General features: G+C 38.1%; 1 protein-coding gene across 4 annotated transcripts in view; it reads right to left on the reverse strand.

Moving 5' to 3' along the window:
- Positions 1–24,306, reverse strand: part of ADAMTS18 (ADAM metallopeptidase with thrombospondin type 1 motif 18) — a 152,907-nt gene that overhangs the window by 42,098 nt on the left and 86,503 nt on the right. For all 4 annotated transcript variants that reach the window (NM_199355.4, NM_001326358.2, XM_047433672.1 and 1 more), the window contains 3 exons: positions 17,479–17,574; positions 11,531–11,679; positions 1,641–1,813 (listed from right to left, as the gene is read on the reverse strand). In NM_199355.4, the coding sequence (NP_955387.1) occupies positions 1,641–1,813; positions 11,531–11,679; positions 17,479–17,574 (418 nt within the window). The remainder of the gene's footprint in view (positions 1–1,640; positions 1,814–11,530; positions 11,680–17,478; positions 17,575–24,306) is intronic.

Raw genomic sequence — 24,306 nt, forward strand, 5'->3', positions numbered from 1 at the left:
ATGGGACCTCAAGAGTATACAACCAACAGAAAGGAAATCTTCCAAGTCTGGAATAGGAAGCAACTGCAGCATCCGCTGGGACCTGCTGTGCAGCATGCTTCCTACGAAATCACTCAGCTCCTGGTAGAATGCCTCTAGTGATGGGGACCTTGTTACTTACAGAGGGAGTATATTTTCATTTTGGACAGTTAATATTTATTTACTTATTCATTCATTTCAAAAGTTATAACCATTACATAAATATATACCAAGTGCTGTTCTTGGATGCTGGAGATATAAGCAAGCTCAAGATAGACAAAGGCTTAGTCCTTGTGGAACCTAAATTCTTGTGGGGAGGAAGATAACAGATAAATGACCACATAAAAATACATCCATGCACTGAGAAGAGCTATGAAGAATAAAACGGGGTAAAGGGTTCAGAAAACAATATGAAGGAAGAATATGTTGACAGGCTGTTAAGGAAGGTCTCTCTGAGGAGACAATATGGCTAGAATGTTCTCAGCCCTTGAATTAATTCTGTTATCTAAAGCAATTTGAAATAAATTGAACATCCTTCCTATTCAATAGCTCTTTGAAGTTTTGAATGTAAGTCGTTTCTCATGTACAGTAAACCTCTATAGGTACCTCATTACTTCCTCCTAAGACACAGCTTTGGAATTGTCATGTCTGTCTCTATCTATACTTCCTGGCAAACAGTCATGACCCAAAACCACATCAGTGCTCCTGAAATGGCTAGGCTGATACTGAGCAAAGCTGCACAATCCTCTCTTTCGATTTGGAGGCTCTACTTGTTATAGTGATGCCTGTAATTATATTAGCTTCCTTTATGATCACTGATTAATATAGGTTCATGTTGCGCTTTTGCACAGAACAGCCCATGGATTGTCATTAAACTTAGTCTCTTTCCATTCTACACATGGGCAGTTGGGATTCACATATAACCCTGTTTCAAGACAGCGTAACAGTTTTGATAAATCTAATGGATGGAAGTAATGAAACAACTAGGATGATGACAGCTTATTCTACATAGGTAAGAGCAACTACATTAAACTCTTCTGCTGTAACTAATGTTTTATTATTCAGTCAAAATAAAGACACATTAATTTAAAAAGTAAAATATAAGCCATAACTTTAAGTATAGTAAGTACCAAGAACCTAGTATAATTTTTATTTATGATTCTGTGTGTGTGTCTGCGTGCATGCACACACTCTACACACAGGCCTTCCCATGCTTGTAATCAACTGACATGTCAGTTACTGTGTACGGTGCCTCTATGGGGTATATATGGTTTCATGAGTTTTTGGTCTGGACAGTTCATACCAATTTCAATTAAGATCCCTGGGAGACTTAATTGCCAAAATGTCAAAGGTAAGTTGAGAAACATGAGTTCATTCCAAACATATGAAACCTTGGGTTTACAGATGTGGGAGACAAGAGGTATCTTATAGGGGGAAAAAAAAAAAAACAACAGTGGAAAAATAAACAAAACCCATGGAATGAAACACTGAGCCAGGATGGGTCTGGGGAGTGAAAGGTAAACATTCAAACTCTTTGATACAAGCAGCAATTTCTTCTGTATTGGTCAATCACATTATTATCCACATAGAGACTTATTTGAATGTCATAGAGACCAAATTACCTTCCACTTTTGTATAGGGTTTCCACTGGTAGAACCATCCACGGAAAGGTTTGCTGTTATATTCTGCACACTGTTGAGCCCGAAAATCCAAGCTATTTTCATTGCAAGGGTTAATATTGCACAGCTGATAAATACGGCTAGAACCTGGACAGAATAAGCCACCATACTGAGGCCTGAAAATGAAATTAATGAACTTTAATGTTAGTAATCAAAGGGCTCATTATTAGTCACATGCAATAATATGAAGAGAGGCAATGAAGATGAGCACTGCCACAGTGTATGCAAAGGCATACAGTCTATTACAGGAATGGAAGTACATAGCATACAACTTAACACCTTCCTTCTTGAATCTAGGCTAGACATAACTAATCAATCAGGGGATTTTTTTCTAGTTCTTTTCATTACCACTGTTCACTCATTAAAATTGGCATGCTAAATCAAATTTATTTGCCATCACCAATCCAATATTTACATTCTGTTCATTTCCTTAAACACTGATGAAAGAAGTTTTACTTTTTATTTTATTATTATTTTTGAGATAGGGTCTCACACTGTTGCCCAGTCTGGAATGCAGTGGCGTGATCTTGGCTCACTGCTGCCTCCACCTCTCTGGCTCAGGTTAGCCTCCTACCTCAGCCTCCCAAGTAGCTGGGACTGGAGGCATGCACCACTACACCTGGCTAATTCTTGTACTTTTTGTTGAGATGTGGTTTCGCCATGTTGCCCAGGCCAGTCTCAAACTCCTCGGTTCAAGTGATCCACCCCCATCAGGCTCCCAAAGTGTGGGGATTACAGGTGTGAACCAATGCACCCAGCCTGAAAGGATATTCTTTTGTTTTTAAATTTTTTAAATTTTTTAAAACTTTTATTTTAGGTTCAGGGGTACATGTAAAGTTTTGTTATACAGTTAAATTGCGTCTCGCAGGGGTTTGGTATACAGACTGTTTCATCACCCAGGTAATAAGCATAATATCTGATATGTAGTTTTTCAATCCTCTTCCTCCTCCAACCCTCCACTCTCAATCTTTGGGTCCATATGTACTCAATGTTTAGCTCCCACTTATAAGGAAGAATATGTGACATTTGGTTTTCTGTTCCCGCCTTAGTTGGCTTACAAGAATGACCTCCAGCTCTATCCATCTGACAGCAAAGGACATGATCTCATTCTTTTGTTTTGGCTGCATAGTATTCCATGGTGCATATGTACCACATTTCTTTATCCAGTCTGCTGTTGATGGGCATTCAGGTTGATTCCATGCCTTTGCTATCACGACTAGTGCTACAATGAACATATACCTGCATGTGTCTTTATGGTAGAACAATTTTTTAATTTTTGATTTTTTTATTTCAATAGGTTGTTTGGTTACATAAAAAAGTTCTTTAGTAGTCATTTCTGAGATTTTTGTGCACCCCTCACCCGATCAGTGTACCCTGGACCCATTGTGTAGTCTTTTATCCCTTGCCACCCCCTACCCTTTCCCTTGAGTTCCCAAAGTCCAATGTATCATTCTTATGCCTTTGCATCCTCATACCTTAGCTCCCACATATGAATGAGAACATACAATGTTTGGTTTTCCATTCCTGAGTTTATGGCAGCACAATTTGCAATTGCAAAAATATGGAACCAGCCCAAATGCCCATCAATCAACGAGTAAAGAAAATGTGGTGTATATAGACCATGGACTACTACCCAGCCGTAAAAAAGTAATGAAATAATGGCATTCACAGCAACCTGGATAAAACTGGAGACCGTTATTCTAACTGAAGGGATATTCCTGACCCTCATCATATTAGCCCCTGTGTTAAGGAAATCTGTAAACACACCTAAATGTTCTTTTACTGTATATGTGTGCTCGTCTGCTACATGCACATACCCTATCTCTTGGCATCAGAAGCTGTTCAAACATGGACCCAAGCTACCTCTCCAGCTTTCTCCCATTTCCTAATACTCTCAGTATCTTCCCACACTTTGCCATGCACCTATTACATAGAACGTCAGCACACTGGGGAGAAGGAACAGAAAGCACCATTTGCTGCTCTCCCCAATCCAGCTGTCAGTCATAGAGATATTTTGAGTATAATATGACTGTTGTGTGTTTCTTCTGATTGATTCTGAAACCAGAGGGAAAACATTCTCTTGTTTTCATCAGCATAGTCACTTTTCAGCTTTGCAGGTGGCCTACTCCTTTCCTGCCAAGCACAATGGGAAATGGATTTCCAGAGTAGACAATTCCATTAGAACATAAATAATGACGATGTAAAGGCAAGCTCTTTAAGATCTTGGTAGGCAGATTCTAATCTGCAAAAACCAGAAAGCAAAATAAAGGAAAAAGAGCACCACCACATTGAAAATTACGCATAACATCGTACCCAGCTTACTCCGTGCACAAAGATGTGGCTTCTTGTCACTCCTCCCATTTTGAGGTTTTCTCTGAAGGCCAAAACTCAACTATGGATCATCTTGTATAACATGAAAGGCGGCTCCAGGTTAATAAATTTATGTGATTAAAATTCCTTGTCTCTTTAGGAGGCACAAGCATGCTCTAAAACAGCCCTGGAGTTGCTTCAGCGTAATTAATTTATCCCATCCTCCTATAACTGCACGCTAAAATGGATTCAACAGAAACGGGAAATGTCACGCGGCCAGAATGAGATTTTTATGCTATTTTAAAACACTCTGGAGCAACTACTTAAACATGCTGCAGCCATTGTGATAAATCAAATCCCTGAAGACTTCTTAAATGATTATCTGAAAAGCACTTAGAAAAATCTTTAAGTGCTATATCATAGCCTCAATATTCCGGTCATCTTTACAAGGCATATTTAAAACTAATTTCTCAGTTTAAGACTTTCTGTGATTTAACGAATAAACCTCATTTGGGCTCTATGTAGTTAATGAAGTGAAAGAGGACTGCAAGGTGTTACTTTATCGACTTATAGAACTTGTAACGTGGAAAAGACCACCAAATTCATACAGCCATTGTCCTCCTTTCATAGATGAAGTGAGAACCAGCTGACAAGAGCTTACAAAACTTGTTGAAAGAGGGTCACACAGCTAGAAAGAAACAGAGACGAGCTCAAGCTCAGGCCTGTGGACTCAGTCCAGGATTTTTTTCATACTTAACTATGCCTGCATTTAACTGAGTTCTTAGGCCATGGGGCCGGGTATGGAAAGAAAGAATAGACAGTAAGGTGCAATGTTTAGGGAGCTGGCCTTTTACAATGAGGGAGATTCTCTCTTTTTTTTTTTTTAATTTTGAGACAGAGTCTTGCTCTATCACCCAGGCTGGAGTGAACTGGCACAATCATGGCTCACTGCAGCCTCAAATTCCTGAACTCAAGTAATCCTCCTGCCTCAGCCTCCTGAGTAGTTAGGACTACAGGCATGTGCCACCATGCCTGGCAAATTTTTAAAATTTTTATACAGATGAGGGGCTGTGTTGCCCAGGCTGGTCTCAAACTCCTGGCCTCAAGCAATCCTTCTGCCTTGGCCTTCCCAAGTGCTGGAATTACAAGCATGATCCATCAAACATGGCCAGACCCTGATTTAAATACAGTATTCTCTGCCTCCTCCCAGCTTAAATTTAGGTGATCTTATTTAACCTCCTCATTTGCAAAATAGGAACAGTTGTGACAATTAACTGATCCAACCTTTGTAAAGAATGTAGGGCAGTATCTAGGGCAGAGTCAGAATAAATAAATTATAACTATTTTTAAATGCCTTATGCTTTTGTATTGAGTACCCACCCTGTGCTGAGTATTATGTGATCTGATTTTTATATACTAATACATTTCATTTTTAATTATGGGATATGGTCAAAGTGATCAAAAGTAATTGCTAGCAAGCATTTGGCCATTTCCATAAAAATATAGGCAATATTTTTCTGCAGCTTTGAACATAAGTGTTAGCCTAACAGACAATTCTATCATGATATGTCTTGGTGTAAGAAGTTGTTTAATATTAAAAAGAAATATAGAAATAGAAAACAAAAACCTAGGCACATGATTTTGTCCTTATATTAGACAACTATAAAGAGCATACCATCATTTGCTTCTGCATCATTTATCAAGTCCTGACTACAAATAGTTACAATGGTGTTGCTTGGAAGAGTATTAGAATCACTTGGAGAGCTCTGTTAAACTATATACATATACAGATTCCTGAGGACCTCCACCCACTTTCTCAATAAGAATATGAGATATGGAAGATTCAGAAATCAGTATTTTTAAAAACACACCTGGTGATTCTGATAACCAGCTGAGCCGTGATATTACTGGTGGGAAAATACACCACCAATTAGATTCAATTATTCTTCTGGGGCCATGATTTTCCTCCTAACTCCATGAGCTAAGTTGTGTTAGAGTTAGCAGACAATTCTTTCTCAAATAGACTCAGGTTTTAGAAAAGTTCTAGAACACCTTAGCATATCACTAATAATTTTCTTGGAGAGTTTATAGGAATTTCACTAGGATCCCTTATGGGGTGATAGTTTAACAAACAAGGAACCAGAAAAAATGAAAAATGTCAAAGGATTAAGACTATGGGAACTTAATCTGACTCTGCCATTACCAGCATGGGGACTTGAGCAAGAGTTGCTACCGTGAATGGGGCCCTCTTCCTCCCCTGGTTACTCATCTGTGAAATAATTGGATTAGGCAGCAGGTTTCAACTCACGTGTCAGTTCTAACCCGATTGAGAACAAATGCCTGAAGAAGGACATTGGGAAGGTCCCTGAGGCATAGGAGGGCTCAATGAAAAACAGGGCTTCCGTCAGTTAAAACTATTTACCACTTACATGGGACAAAGGATGTCCCTGTGTGCCTGGCATTGGCCATTCCAGAGCCAGATAGCAGTCAACAAAAAAAAACTGGTAAATCTATGAATCAGCCAAGAATCATTCATTTTTCAAGAAATAAAGTCTGTTCTGGGAAAAACACCTTTATATGAAACAGAAACCTCACACTGCTTCTCGGATGAGACAATGAAAATGGCTACACTGAGTGATGTGAATAGAACCAAATGCTTAAACTGAAGCAAGAAAGAAATCCATAACTTGAAATAGGGAGAAAAAACAGCATTACTGCAACAGAGTGAAATAAGAACAGAGACAGAACAATTAATTCAGTTGTCTTGGGAGAGCCTATCATCTACTTGTTTTATTTATGGCTTCATGCAGAGTTAAAGTAAACAGTATCCTGATTTATTTTTCATCTTGTTTTAAATGATAAAACTGCACTGAATGAAAATACTTTAGTGATTAATTATTCTATTAGGCATCTCTAAATTACAATATGTTGTTTCCATGAACAATGCCCTATTATAATGAGAGCTCTCAATCCTACAGATATGAGAGAGGTTTTAATTTAAATCTCAGGGGCATCATTCATGCACTTTACCAGCAGAGCTATTGAATTAGGTAATCTATGTCTTTCTTGGGAAAATATTGAGATTGTAAAATGTTGTAATGGATGAAAACCAGATCCATGAACTATACTTCACAAATGTAAAGTAATATGATGATTTTAACAACTCAACTTAAGACATGGCTGCATTCAAAGTATCAGGAGGTTAAATAACTACCCTCCTGCTTAAACCAGGAGATACTAAAACAACATCATTGTTTTAATACTGTTATTAAAACAATAACCTGGTATAAGTTGCAAATGCATCACCAGCCTCCTTATCATTATATTCAGTCACTGGGCCTGATTACATCTGTGAGTCCCAATCAGAGATTATTTTGTCCCATATAGGACATTTGGCAATGTCTGGAGACATTTTTGGTTGTCACAGTTTGGTGGGTGGTGGGAAGAAGAGTGCATCCTACTGGTACTAGTAGGTCAAGGGCAGGGATGCTGCTAGACATCTTACCATGTACAGGACAAATCTCCAAAACAAAGAATTTGCCAGCCCATGTCAATAGTGCTGACATTGAAAAGCTCTATTTTAGCCTGCGATATTCGAAGCAGCACCTAACACGTGATGGGCAAAGTGTCTCCAAACTCTGCTTTATATTTTGGGGAAAAAATAGAATTTTTATCTAACTCAGACTGCTGACTCAAATGAAGTACCATTCATCTTTTTTAAAATGTCCTTTTGCTCTAGTGTCATTATTTCTCAATTCACCAAATAGTTACGCAATGCTAATGACATGTCAGACCCTCTTCTAAAGCACTTCACAAATGTTAACTCAGTTGACATAGGTACTATCGTTATCCCGTTTTTATAAGTGAGGAATCTGGAGCAGGAAGACTAAGTTGTCTGTGGTCATAGATCAGAAGTGTTAGGGTCAGGATGCAGAAATGGTCTGTCAAACTTCAGAGTCTATGTTCTCATCCTCTGCACTATGCTACCAACTTAAATTATGTTGTAAATTAAATCTGTTTTCCAAGTTTCCATCACATTCTTCTCACTCCATCACATTCTTCAAAAGTCAGTTTCGTCAGTAAAGGCTCTGCCTCTCCACCCTGCTTCGGTGGGCTGACCCTCTGTGACCCCGTCCTCCTGGTGAGCTTGGGATGAGGATGATGAAAACCACACAGATCCCAGAACCTTTTGGTGAATGCCCACTGAATGTTCCCCAGTCTGTCAGGCATTCTAAAGATGCAATTTCTAATCCTCCTCCAACCTTCCAAGGTTATCTTCTACATTTTTTTATACATAAACCCAAGTCAAATGACTTTTACAAAGCCACAGAGTTTAGAAGTGGCAGACACAGGGTTTAGAGTCTTTCTATCTATCGCCAAAATCTGGGCTCTGTCTACATCATTCTGCCAACTGGAAAATCTACATCTCACACATGTTTCATGTGGGAGTTAGAGCATATAAAAGTAACATAAAACCACCTTCATGTGCACAGAGCACAAACTGCAGTTCAGACTCCAGTATGACCAGACCAAAGAGTGCCCACAGGTGACCACAGGCCAATTGCAATCCACAGCTGATTTGACTAGTTGTCACAGTGGGACTTTCTGTGTTTGAAGAAAATTGAATTTGCTGTCAATATTTTTAAAATTGGGAAATTTCACATCAGCATTTTTCCGTATTTCTGGTTTCTCTTGAAAAGTCAGGCAGATCTGTCAACACGTGTTGATGTACATTCCTGCAAGGCAAATCAGCATACTTTCTGCAGTTCACCAGTTTGAGAGACACTCACAAGGTTTGCCGGCCAAACTTTTCTGTTCTACGATAGCACAAGTATTTAATTATATGACTGTAGAACCCTAGTTTAGATGAACAGAGTAGCTCAGAGTCTTACTGGATCATCACAGTCCCGTAGAGAATGACTCCTCTGCTGTGTTTTGGTTTCTGCCCACCATACCTTCCCTCGGTGCACATGGACTTTATATGCAAACAGTAAAACTCTGGTTGATTGTTACTAACCGGAGGGAAGAAAATGGCACTTTAAAACAGTGTTTTCTCACACTAGGGCCTGTCGCATGGTGGGGAGCAAGGGGAGGGAGAGCTTTACAACAAATACCTAATGCACGTGGGGCTTAAAGCTTAGATGATGGGTTGATAGGTGCAGCAAACCACCATGGCGCTATATACCTATATAACAAACCTGCACATTCTGCACATGTATCTTGGAACTTAAAGTAAAATAATAATGAAAAAAGAAATACCAAAAAAAAAAAAATAAAACAGTGTGTTCTGTTGGTGGGAATGTAAATCAGCACGGTGGTTCCTCAAAAAACTAAAAGCCATCCCAAAAAAATCCCAAAAGGAAGGAATACCCCAAAGAAGGGAAATCAGTGTATAGAGATATCTGTATTCCCATGTTCAATTCAGCATTATTCACAATAACCAAGACATGGAAGTAACCTAAGAGTCCCTCAGTGGATGAATAAGTAAAGAAAATATGGCACATATCCATAATTGAACAGTGTGCCATGTTTTCTTTATCCATTCATCCTACTAATGCTGCTAGATAGTATAGTACAGATACTATATATTAATAGTATATATTAATAGTATAATATAGTATACTATTATACTATATTATATATAGTATATTAGTATATTAATAGTATAATATATAGTGTCCTATATACTAAATATAAATACTGTAATATATAGTGTCATATATACTATATATAATATAGTGTCATATATGCTATATATAATATACAGTGCAATATATGCTATATATAATATACAGTGCAATATATGCTATATATAATATACAGTGCTATATATGCTATATATAATATACAGTGTTATATATTATATATAATATATAGTGTTATATATTATATATAATATATAGTGTTATATATTATATATAATATACAGTGTTATATATTATATATAATATATAGTGTTATATATTACATATAATATACAGTGTTATATATTATATATAATATATAGTGTTATATATTACATATAATATATAGTGTTATATATTATATATAATATATAGTATATATGCTATATATAATATAAAGTATAAATAATACTACATATATTATACTATTATATATACTACATATTTATATTATATATAGTATATATATTATATATATACTGTATATTATAGTATATATTATATAGTATATATACTGTATATTATAGTATATATTATATAGTATATATACTGTATATTATAGTATATATTATATAGTATATATACTGTATATTATAGTATATATTATATAGTATATATACTGGATATTATAGTATATATTATATAGTAGTATATATAGTATATATTATAGTATATAGTATATATATACTACTATAGTATATAGTATATATACTATAGTATATAGTGTATATACACTATATACTGTATATAGTGCATATACTATAGTATATATATATAGTATATATATACTGTATACTATAGTATACTACTATATACTATAGTATATATACTGTATACTATAGTATACAGTATATATACTATAGTATACAGTAAATATACTATATACTATAGTATACAGTATATATACTATATACTATAGTATACAGTATATATAATATACTATAATGTACAGTATATGCACTATATATTATAATATACAGTATATATACTGTACATTATAGTATATAGTATATATACTGTATTTTATAGTATATAGTAGTATATATACTGTATATTATAGTATATAGTAGTATATATACTGTATATTAATAGTATATAGTAGTATATATACTATATATTAATAGTAATTATATATAATGTAGTATAATAGTATTATTTGAATTAATGGTATTCAGCCTATTATGATAGTATTAATCCTACTTAATACTATGAATCCTATTTAATACTATTCAGCCATTATAAAAATGAAATCCTGTTATTTGCAGCAACATGAATGGAACTGGAGGACATCATATTAAGTGAAATAAGCCAAATGGAGAAAGACAAATATTGTATCTTCTCCCATGTGAGAGCTAAAAAAAAAAAAAAAAATTGAACTCACAGAGCTAGAGCTAGAGAGTGCATTGACAGAGCTGGGAAGGGTAGTGGGGAGGGAGAATGGTAATGTCAGCATGGTTAATGGGTACAAAAATATAGTTAGAATGAGTAAGATCTAGTATTCAGTAGCACAAATAGGGTGACTATAGTTAACAATTCATTGTATATCTTAAAATAACTAAAACAGTGGAATGGGCCTAATAAAGAAATGACATTGGAATTTTTTTAATAAAGAAACAATAAAGGCTTGAAGTGATGGATACCTCATTATGCTGATTTGATCATTCCACATTGTATAGTTGTATCAACACATCACATGTACCCCATAAATATGTATAACCATTATGTAGCCATAATAATTAAAAATAAAAAAATAAACTTAAAGTATGAACAAGAAAAACCAGCGTGTTACAGGCTGAAGGTTAAGGCCTTGCAAAGACTAACTTTCTGCTGGAGGCTTACTTGGGGTTATTGCAGTGTCTCTCCTGGAACTTGACTCCTCCACCACATGTCCGGGAACATTCTGACCACTTCGACCAGGCGGACCACTGGCCGTGGATGGGCCGGGGCCCGAGCTCCCCAAACTTTACGCACTGGCCTTGCCGACACCACTGTGAAAAGAACGTGTAAGATGGTTCCCGTCAGAGACCACCTGGGAAAGCGCAGGGAGTTGCCAACACCTGCACAGTAACAGGAAAAACAGGTCTGTTGGGAGAAAAGGAAAATGCCTGATACCTTGATAAATTCCTCTGCTGTGCTCTAAAAACACTCAACTACTCTGCATTGACCACATCCATTTTGAAAGGCTGACATCTAGAGAGAAGTGGCATTGTTCACCAACAGGCTGAGTATGATAGGCTTTGTGAACTGTGGAGGTGACATGTTCAGATAAGATTCCACCTAACAGCCAAGGGAGTCAGTATAAAGTTACAAGGAAGCCTGCCTTGCCACTGAGAGACAACACTACTTAAAGAACAATTCGGATCACTCATTCAGGAAGAAACAGTTAAGATATTAACACAATTTATCATTCTGAAAGAACAATTGGGATCACTCATTCATGAAGTAACAGTTAAGATATTAACACGATTTATCATTCTGAATGATTATCTTATCATAAAATAGATACAATTACACATACATTATATTTTTGCTTATTCCAAACCCGTCACTATAGAGCATTTCTTACAAAGCTGAACAACTCAGTCTGTACAAATTGTTCTCTTCAGATAGCATCCTTTTTCCTTTGTCTACATAAAAGGTGCCCACTTCAGATGCTCTGATGACTTTGAGCTCTTGCAGTGTCTTTGATGAATTAGCCCAGGGTCTTTCATTTGCCCATGATCTGTACAAGCTAGATGGAGAGCTTTTTTCTGTATTAACCTTTCCATTTTAGTTCTCCTTTTTGTAACAAATTCCTGGCTTTGCTGGTCATCTCTCCCTAGGGGATGCATTAGCCTCTGGTAGTGTTTCTTTTGTTTTTGTTTTATTTTTTGTTTTTGTTGCCTACCCCCAATCCCCAACCCCTGCAGTGCTTTGATTATGAGAAAGTTCTGCATGACTTAGCATAACTGCTCTTTTCTAAAAGCCTCTGCAATTAGATCCAAAGGGTTGGGGTTTGGACCATGCCAGGTTTTGCTGAGGAATTGGGGGATCGGTTACAGAATTATGGGAAGGTTGTTTGACTTTCAAATCTTCACTTATCCCCTGCGATACATTTGGCTTCATGACTGTTTACTGTGTGGCTTGGTTGCTAGCGCACTCTATCTAGGTTAAGATATTGCTTCCTTTCTTCAAATTCTTGCCATGTGCTGATTAATTCTTCTGTTTTTAATTTTTCTTTTCCCTGGATTAATTGCCATTTCAGAGTTTGCATGAAACCATATAACACTATTGAGAAGTTTTTGGGGAAGGCTATCGGTCATTTGAGGATTTTGCCTACCATAAGCATGCATCTTTTCTACCGGGAATCACGAGGACTCTACTGGACTGAGTTCAGTGGCTGAGACAAAATTACAATAGCCAATAACAGTAACAGCAGCAGCAGCCACAGGTTATCAAGCTGCTTCTATGTGCCAAAAATGATGCAGAGAGCTTCACATGCAGTATCTCATCTAATCCTTGCAAAGCACTGAATTAAAAGCCGTTTTCCTCAGTAGGAGAAATTTAGCAAAGAAATACTAGCTAACTTGCTCAGAGTGACACAAACTACCCAAACAGATCTATTCAAATAACTATGCAAGTATAAGAGACTGGATTTAACTCAGTAGCCAGAACTCCTAAGCAGGACACTTCTACTTCTCATCTTGGAGGCAAATTACTGACCAATGTACCTTAATTCTAATCTAATTTCTTTTTGGAAAATGTGTTTTTTAGATCTCTTCCAGTCATTCAATTAACTTGATGTTCTATTACTTCAGTATTTGTTCTAGTATTACGTTAGGCTGCTATCACACTGTCTCCATTTGGCCTTTTAATCAGTGTAGAAATCAGGAATATAAAGGAATGTACACACAGACCTGCACACATTCACATGAATAGGTAAAATTCTACATAGAAAATGCAAATTTAGAATATATACACCTGTAATTTTATCCATCTTTTCTTTTCTTTTCTTTTTTTTTTTTTTGACAAAGTTTCACTCTTGTTGCCCATGCTGGAATGCAGTGGTGCGATCTCGGCTCACTGCAACCTCCGCCTCCCAGGTTCAAGCGATTCTCCTGCCTCAGCCTTCCAAGTAGCTGGGATTATAGGCGCCTGCCACTACACCCAGCTAATTTTTGTATTTTTAGCAGAGACAGGGTTTCACCACGTTGGCCAGGCTGGTCTTGAACTCCTGACATCAGGCGATCCACCCACCTTGGCCTCCGAAAGTGCTGGGATTATAGGCGTGAGCCACCGCGCCTGGCTCCATCTTTTCATACATACATATTTTTCTTTGTTGTTGTTGTTGTTGTTTTTAGACAGGTTATCACCCTGTCACCCAGGCTGAAGTGCAGTGGCACGATCTTGGCACACTGTAGCCTCCACCTCCCGGATTTAAGTAATTCTTGGGCCTCAGCTTCCGGAGTAGCTGGGATTACTGGCGTGCACCAGCATGCTCAGGTAATTTTTTGTATTTTTAGTAGAGATGGAATTTCACCATGTTGACCAGTGTAGTCTCGAACTCCTGGCCTAAAGTGATATGCCCGCCGAGGCCCCCCAAAGTGCTGAGATTACAGGCATGAGCCACCACGTCCAGGCCCAGCATACATATTTCTGGCACTACATCTAATTTCCAATTGAATGGCCATGACTTAGGCCATTATCTTTTTATAGACAGCATGTACAAACCTTTCTTTCCGTGCACACATATTTCTAGATAAAAGTAAGTGGCTTGGCCGGGCGCGGTGGCTCAGGCCTGTAATCCCAGCACTTTGGGAGGCCAAGGCGGATGGATCACATGGTCAGGAGACCGAGAGCATCCTGGCTAATACGGTGAAACCTCATCTCTAATAAAAAATAGAAAAAATTAGCCGGGCGTGGTGGCGGGCACCTGTAGTTCCAGCTACTCGGGAGGCTGAGGCAGGAGAATGGCGTGAACCCGGGAGATGGAGCCTGCAGTGAGCCAAGATCATGCCACTGCACTCCAGCCTGGGCGACAGAGCAAGACTCCATCTCAAAAAAAAAAAAAAAAAAGTAAGTGACTTTCATACTGCCTCATGTTGGCTGAGTATTCACAGTACAAATATCGCTGAAGGACAAGGGACTGGAGAAGAAAGAGGAAGGACAGAGTTGGGTTCCAGTTACAGAGAAACAAACAAAACATTGAGTACCTGCTACTGTGTGTCAGACACTCCAGATGAAACAAGTAAAACCAGGGCACTGGCCCTCATGAAATTTACAGTCTAACAAGCAGCCAGTGATATCCCCTGGTGAAGGAAGAATCTGAGGAAACCGTATATGAATGTAATAATCATTACACGGGAGTGATGATGGATGGAACTTATTAAGATGCTTTCTGTTGAGGGTGACATTACACTTAAGGGCTTTTCACCAGTATATAACTATAGCCTGGTGTTTTAAAATAACGTGGTGTGGCAGTTGTATCAAGACATTTGTTTTCCCACTTCTGACTTTATTTATCTCGTGTTCTGTTTACTGAAGCCTAACACAAGTACGTTTTATCCCCCTTGGAACTTAGATACCTGAAGTGCTTATGTAATAAATCTTTAGACCTAGGTGATGTATCACTTATTTTTCTCATTCATTATATAAATATTTTCCTGTGTATCCCTTATAGGTAACGATGTTGCTTTTTCAATTAAAAAAAAAAACAAAACACTAATCCTCAAGTCACAAGTTCTAAGTTGTGATGCCTCAAAAGTAAAAAGGACTTGAGCACTATTTATATTTTAAATTATTCCACTAATTCATTGTTTTGTATCATCATGGCCCCAACATTTCTATTAACATTTTCAAGAACAGTCCTCATTGGGAATCCCTAAGACCACTATCGGATTAAAAATTGCACATAACTCCTCAATTTTTAAAATGTTCATTTTCTTTAAAACAAAGAGTTAAAAATTACAAGTCTTTTTAAGAGATAGTGAATAAATGTCCTAACAAATATCAGAAATCTGTGCCTTTGCCTCTGATGTTGGCCTCTCTCTGAAAAGTCCTTTTTATCATCTAACTGAAGAACTTTAACCCACAACCCAACAACCATCTTGATGCATGTACTTGTTGTGGTTTATTCTAAGTGCATAGCTAATCTCAAGCAAGATTCAGCTCTCATTTCATCTGGGCCCCGACAGCAACTACTGCTTAGAGAAGGTGTCTTTAAAGAGAGAATTAGTTATTTCCTTCTGTATATGTTTCCCCTGCTAGACTGTAAATTTTTATATTTTTAATTTATTTTTGAGAGAGTCTTGCTCTGTCACCCAGGCTGGAATTCAGTGGCACAATCTCCACTTCCTGCAACCTCTGCCTCCAGGATGCAAGTGATTCTCATACCTCAGCCTCCCAAGTAGCTGGGATTTCAGGTGTGTGCCACCACGCCCAGCAAATTTTTGTATTTTTAGTAGTCCCAAGGTTTCACCACGTTGGCCAGGCTAGTCTTGAACTTCTGACCTCAAGGGATCCACCCACCTTGGCCTCTCAAAGTGATGGGATTACAGGCATGAGCCACTGTGCCCCGCCTGGACTGTAAATTTTTAAAGAAATACAACTCTGGTTTATTTATCTCTACATCCCCAGAGTCTCCTGTTCCCCATATCTAGTAATGAATAAATTATTGTGGAATGAAATAACTTTTTCTTTTTTAGAGACAGGGCCTAGCTCTGTGGCCCAGGATGGAGTGCAGTGGCATAATCACAGCACACTACAGCCTCAAACTCCTGGGTTGAAGCGATCCTCCTCCTTCAACCTCCCAAAGTGCTGGGACTACAGGCACGCACCACCAAGCCTGTTTAAGCTTTTGTAGAGATAGGGTCTCGCTGTGTTACCTGTTCTTGAACTCCTGGCTTCAAGCAATCCTCCCTGCTCAGCCTCCCAAAGTGTTGGGATTACAGGTATGAGCTATCACACCCAGCCTTGACATAACTTTAAAGGACCAATGACCATTTTTTTCTGTATAGGTTTATACTGCCTTGAGACAGAGTCAATAATTAAGATCAGCAAACCTGTAACATCTCATTATCTCTTGTCATTCATAGCTCCTCTTTGATTGGCCTTTCAAATGAACTTCCCAAATCTGGATCATTTACTAGTAGCCCAAATGCAACCTGCCCTCCCTCCAGACTCTATTGAGAAAGAGGAAGAAAAATAGAAATATATGAGAGTTCTTCATTAAAAATATTGAGATCTCCTATAATCTTTCAAAATGGAGGTGGTTCTCTGGGTAGGAGATGCTCACCAGCAAAAGGACCTTAGGTACACACTAGGTGGAGGCGTCTCTTACCCTTCAATAGGAAAGTCACTGTACATGATGGGAATCTATAGGGCATGTCAAAAGCTCAATGACAGCTCCTGTGAGTTGAGCTGAGTAGCCGAAGCCTTGGTCTGGAGGGACAGTCATTTCTTGACTAACAAGACATCTGATCCCTGAGACTTTTTAAATACCACAAGTTTAAAAGGAAAATGGTATGCAATGAAACCTGTAAGCTCATTGAAATAGAGATATTTTGAGCCAAGCCACCATCTAAAACAGGAAGACAAAAAAGAAAAAAAAAATCTTCTTAAACAATTGAGCTACCTGGGTTATATTAGCATTAAGCTTTGTAATTGCTGCTATATAATGTTGTTAATATGAAGAGAAGTCAGAGAATATAAACTACCAAAGCATTCACCCTAAGGTCACAATACAAACAGTTTGAATTCTATGCCTTATCAAATTTCTGGAGCTAAAAACTAACAAGTATGCAGTTTACCATACTCAAGCCACAAACGGTCCCTTCTGCTGCGGGCATAAACTTGGTCTCACACCTGTGGCCTACTCGGTGGCACCAAAGTGATTTGCAAATATCCTGAAATAAAAAAAAAGGGGGGTGCTGTTAATGGTGATATACAATAAAAACAAAAATATTCAAAGATGTTGTATATAATATTATATTTTGGGGTAGCTGAAATCAGAGCAATTATTCAGAAAGTAGAGGCCAGTGAAGTTGGCAACACCAAAGTTAATATGTTTTAGTAACTATATAAGTGGGGGGTTTCTACAGTATCCAGATATTCATGTGTGTTTTGTAACAGCTGGTAGGTAGCAACAGTTAATTTAGAGAACACTTGGCTTGGAAGTGATAGATCTGGTTTCTCATGATAGTGATGATGATAACCGTCGTAGCAGAATACATCAAGATTGGAATAAAGCAAGTCGGATTCAAGTCTTCATCCTGAAATGCCTGGTTTCATGCCCTATGGACATGTTATGGAATCCCTTTCAGTTGCAGTTTTCTCACCTGTACAATAGCGATCAAATGAGCACTTGACTCTATAGACTTATTCTCAAGGATAAATGAGGAACTACATGTAAAGTGATGGTTTTGCCTGGCACATGCAGTTCTCAAAAATACTGCCTATCATTACTACCTTTTTCATCTTTTTAAAAAATGTTCTACAGTTGCTTTTTCAAGGTCCTATATGTGCTTACCTGAAGCATTTTCTATGAGTGCTGTTTATAGTTTATTGACTGACTGACTGTAGAGACAGATTCTTGCTTTGTGGCCCAGTCTCATCTCAAACTCCTAACCTAAAGTGATCCTCCCACCTCAGTCTCCCAAACTGTTGGGATTACAAGCATGAGCCACCAGGCCTGGCCACCTTCTTCGTCTCTATTGCAGTTTTCAAATATGTAGACAATTTAACTCTCAAACCAGGCCTATGAAATAATTTCATTCTCATGCTAGACTGTGGTACACAGAATAATGGCCCCCAAAGATGTTCGCATACTAATCCTGGGATCCTGTGAATATGTGAAGTTGTGTAGCAAAGGAGAATTAAAGTTACAGATGCAATTGAGGTCATCATCAATTGAAATGGAGAGGCAGAGACTGTCCTAAATTTTCCAGGTGGGCCTAACATAGTCACAAGAGTCCTTATATGGGAAAGAGGAGCTTAGAAGAGAACCAGAGAGATGACAGCTTGAGAAAGACCTAGGAGAATGTTGCTGGCTTTGAAGATGAAGGAGGGGCCATGAGCCAAGGAATGCAGGCAGCTTCCAGAAGCTGAAAAAGGCATGAAAATGACTTCTCCCCTAAGGCCTTCAAAACCCTGCTAATGCACTGATTTTAGACCTTACTTTCTTTTTTTTTTTTTTTGAGAGTGAGTTTCACTCTTGTCACCCAGCCTGGAGTGCAATGGCACCATCTCGGCTCACTGCAACCCCCGCCTCCTGGGTTCAAGCAATTATCCCTGCCTCAGCCTCCTGAGTAACTGGGATTACAAGCACGCACCACCATGTCCGGCCACTTTTTGTATTTTTAGTAGAGACGTGGTTTCACCACGTTGGCCAGGCTGGTCTCGAACTCCCAACCTCAGGTGATCTGCCCGCCTTGGCCTCCCAAAGTGCTAGGATTGCTCACATGAGCCACCTTGCCTGGCCTGATTTTAGCCCTTTCAAATATCTACTTCCAGAACTATAAGATAATAAATGTGTGTTGCCTTAAGTCACACTAAGTTTGTGGAAATTTATTTAGATAGGGAACTAATACTTTTACTACCATTTTAGTGGTGGAAACTGAACTAATTCTTCATCTAAACTCATTTAGCTGAAAAAACTGAGCAAGCTTCTGATGCTGTTGAACTTTTAAAATCACACAGCTGGCCAGGAACAAAGGCAGGCCTCAAGCTGGCCTGATTTCTGAGTCTAGTAACAACCACTACACTAGGCCTGGATTTGCCACTGATGGATATTGGAAGGCTCTCAAATTCTCCAGGCCTCAGTTTTCTAGTCTATAAAGAAACAGAACCAGATTACTTTCCGTTCTAACAGTTAAAGTTGATATTTACAATTATAGCACTAATGGAATGTTGTGAAACATTGTGAAAGGTCAAAGTGACCCCATTTTGGTGGGCACATTCTATTTCCAAAGATAAAAATGTGAAGATGGACATTTTGGAGAAAATATAAGCAACCAGAGAGGAGAAAAATAATTTTTGTCATTACTTGTTGTAATCCTGAAAATTCAATGAACCAGGCACCTAATTCCCCAAACACTCCATTTCATGTAGATTTTACAGTTAGAAAATATGGCAAGAATATGCTTAGAAATATTACACAAACACTCAAAAAAAAAAGCTTTCCATGGGACTGAGAAAACATAGGGAAACCAGATGTATATATATATATGTATGTATACATACATATATATGTATGTGTGTGTGTATATATATATATATATATATACACATACAGTAATTTTGGTCTTGTAGACCATAAAATTCTTCCCCTAAAAGGAGAATGGAAGAATATTGAGGACACTACTTAGAAACACCAACACCACCAGCTGCCCCAGATGTGGGCACGTGTACCATTCCCAAATCTCAAAACAGCTCCTAAGCTAGAATATATACATATTCCCGTGAACCTGCCACTGACATTAGCAGAAAGCATGAGGCAGCCTCCCAGCAAACTGAATCACAGTCATCATCGCTACGTGTTGTCGTATTGAGTCACCCTCAGTTTGAGGGAAATCAATCAATGTGGGTAAGAGAGCCGCCTATGTGAAATGGGAGGCATGAGAGATAGCACTGAAATGATTAAACCTACACTTAGAAAGGCTTTCAGAACTAAATTGTTTTTCTTCTTACAGCCAGGAAAAAGCCATAACCCACACCCAGTGCCTATGTGGCAGCCACCAAAATGGCCCTAGGGCAGACCAAAGAAAAGGAGGGCTAGCTGTCGTAGCCAATGCCAAGCCACAGAACCAAGAGAAGGGGCAGCTGGAGAGAACCAGGAAAACAAAGCAAAACAAAAAAAAAAACACAGGGATTCCAGAGTGAAATAAGACAGGCTGCATGAACATGTTATTTCTTCTGCGGTGGAGTACAGAAGTCAAGGGTAATTATAGCCAACTACATACTCTGACGACCATGAAAGCCCCTTGAGAAGGCTCCCTTTCAAAGGAAACGCAAATCAGAGTTTGCACTTTTTTTGCTTGTACCTCCCCCCTCTTTTTACCAGCATATTCAAATAACTTTCCCTTATCTATAATTCCCTGGACTTAAGTCATAATTTAAGGGAAAAAAAGAAATAACCACAGAGACTCCAAGGTCTCATGTTGCCTGCATATGATTTTTTTAAACTAGGCAACATTTTAAAGGAAAGAGTCCCAATGCTATCCATTATTCTGTCCTGTCACTTGCTGTGTCCTCCAGTTGTATTCTATAGGCTGGATACCCCTTCAAGTAAAACCTGACATGCTGAAAATGTTAATGGCTTTTGCAAACCAAATTTTATGAAGCATTACAAACTGAACACATCCAAAATAAAAGTTCTTCATTGGCTCCTCCAAACCTGTCCCATGTTTCACTGTCCCCATCTCACTCTAAGACACCTCTATATTCCCATTGGTTCTGGTAAAAAATCCTAGAGTCATCTTTGACTCTTCTGTTTCTTTCACATTCTATCAAGAAAACCCCCACCAGATCATGAAATCATATTGGCTTTGCCTTCAAAATATTTCCAGAATCTGAACAATTATGGCCACCTTCCATTTCTACTACCCTGTTCCAAGCCACCCGACATGGAGCTCACTGCCAGATCCTCCTCACAAGCCTCAAAGGCTTTTACCCGCACCCTTGCCCAGTTTATTCTCAACACAGTGACTAGAGCTGTATTATCCAATATGATAGTTACTTTCTACATGTGGCTTGTTAAACCTGAATTTACATTACTTAAAATCAAAATAAGAATTCACTTCCTCAGGCACACTGGTCACATTTCAGGTTCATGTGTAGTAAGTACCTACCATATTGGATAACAGAGAACATTTGCATCATTATGGAGAGTTCTGCTGGATGGCACTCAGTTAGGGAGAGCCTTCCAAATCAACTCAGTGTCAGTCAGCTCATGGCACTTTTCTGCTCAAAACCCTGTTATGTCTTGTCAATTCATCACGAGAAAAATCCAAAGTCCTAACTGTCATCCACAAAGTCATATGCACTCAAGCCCCCTGTATCTCCCTGACACTGTATCCTACCAGTTTAGGTCTTGCTCACTCTGGTTTAGCCACACTGGCTCCCTGATGCTCTGCCAACACTCAAATTTTGCTCCCAAAGCGGGTCTTTACACTGGCTGTTCCACTTCTTCAACTATCTGCATCTCTCTCTTACCTCCTTCAAGTCTTTGCCTAAATTTCACCTCCTGTGACCTCGATATTAAAAAATTTAATCAGCCACCAACCAGTCAGTCTTCCAATTTTCCTTATCTTATTCCAAACTTACTTAGCACTTGTGGCTTCATTTACAACATCATTGACTTATTTATAACGTTTATTGTGTTTTGTTTTCTCCCCCACTAGCCACGAGAGTACAGAACTGTGTTTTCTCTCTGATGTATCCCAAGCACCCAAAACAGTGCCTGGTACAAAGTAGGCTTCAGTAAATCAATATATGAATAAAAATGACAGACTTTGTATTTTAAAATAGTCTTCATTTGTAATAAAGACTCTGGAATTTTTAAGAGCTTTCAAGAATTAAAAAAAATAATAACATGAAAGAACCTGGCAAACAGTATATGCTAAAAAAAACTGGATAATGAGTTTTGCATAAATTATTTCATTGTATCATCATTGTGGCCACATGACGAAAGTATGACTATCTCCTCAACATGCTCATGAGAAAATTGAGACTCAGAGAAATTAAGAAACTTCTTCCAACTTCTTTTAGCAGTTAAGTCTCTAGTTGGCCTGGATTTAAGCCCATGTATGCCTGAGTTTATTGCCCAAGTTTTTAAGCTAAGCAATAATTTAAAAGTAACAAATAACAATTAACAAGTAGGAGTCACCAAGAATTGCCCCGATGCCATTTTAAAAATCAACTTTACAGAGGTATGATTTATACAATAATATGCATTCATTTTAAGTGTACTGTTCCATGCATTTTGGCAGATATATACACCACTATAAACACCACCACATTCAAGGCAGAATATTTCCATCACTCCAAAAAGTTCCCCTGTCCCCTTTTGCAGTCAATTCCCTTCTTAGGGCAACCACCATTCTGATTTCGGTCACCAATAGGTGAGTGTTGCCTATTCTCTTAAATTTCATATAAATGGAACCATACAGAATGTACTCTTTTGTTCGGCATGTTTTTCAGTCATCCATGTTTTTGTGTGTATCAATAGTTCATTCTTCTTTATTGATGAATGGAGTTCCATTGTATGAATACAGCAAAATCTAATCTGCTTGCACATTCACCTTTTGCAGGACGTTTAAATAGTATCTAGTCTTTGGCTTCTATGAATCAAATAGTAGCTGAGAATGTTCTTGGACAAGCCTTTTTATGAACACAGTCCTTTATTTATTTCAGGTAGATACCATGGAGTACATTTGCTGGGTCAAAGGGTAAAGGTAGGTTTAACTTTCTACATTGAAACAACTCGGTCAAACCATTTCCAAAATGATTATACCACTTGACACACTCATCAGCAATATGCAGAGTTCCAGTTGCTTCTGGTCTTCGGTATCATTTGGTATTGTCAATCTTTTTAATATTCTCCATTCCAGTCAGTGTGCAGTGGTGCCCCATTATAATTTCTTTTATATATTCCTGAGAGCAATTGATATTGAGTACCATTTCATGCATTTATTGACTATGTGTATGTCTCCTTCTCTGATATATTATTTGATATATTCCTGAGAGCAATTGATATTGAGTACCATTTCATGCATTTATTGACTATGTGTATGTCTCCTTCTGTGATATATTAATTTAGTATTTTGCTCCTCCCCTCCTTTTTTGGTAAGGGGATTGGCACTGGTACCATTTTATATTTTTTCTAGGTAGATAATATGAGAGGCAGTATAGTATAATGGTTAATAGAATGTGCTACCCAGATCCAATTTTAATTCTGCCATTTGCTCATATAAAGCTTAGTAAAACATTTATTTTTATGTACTTTAGATTTCTTATCTAGAAAATGTTAATAATAGCACATCCCCCAAAGATATGGAAGTATTAATATGTATCGTGTGCTTAAAGTACTATCTGATACATAATAAGCACTGAATAAATATTAGTTATTATTATAGGATGGAAAGAGTATCTTACCCTCAATTTTCTAAGAGTTCATTCACATATAGATATCACTACAATTTTGACTCTAAAACCAGGGCCTTTTGTTTTCCTGTATACTAGCACTTTCTGACTAATCTTGCTCAGATTATTTAACTTCAATTTCCTTTCTGCTGGATTCAGGGGGGACAATAAATAATGTTCCTGTCTCTTCCACCACTAGATAAATAAGACACTGGAGTCCAAGAAATGGAAATCTAGATAATAACCTTATTACTGATAATCATGAATTGGGGAATGTGGCTGAGATCTGTGGCCAAATAGGTCTTCCAACACTATCTCCACTGCATTAGACCAACTATCCCTTCACACTTGCAGGTAGAGGAGGCAAACACAAGTCTCCCATCCGAGGCAGGCAACCTCCAGGGTGGCAGAAGAGAAGTGTGCATCCTGCAGACAGGCAGCACAAGAGAGAAGATGCTGAGACAGTACTGTGGCATGCCTGCTCAGATATAGTCTTA

This window comes from Homo sapiens, chromosome 16 (genome assembly GCF_000001405.40).
Source record: "Homo sapiens chromosome 16, GRCh38.p14 Primary Assembly".
NCBI lineage: Eukaryota > Metazoa > Chordata > Mammalia > Primates > Hominidae > Homo > Homo sapiens.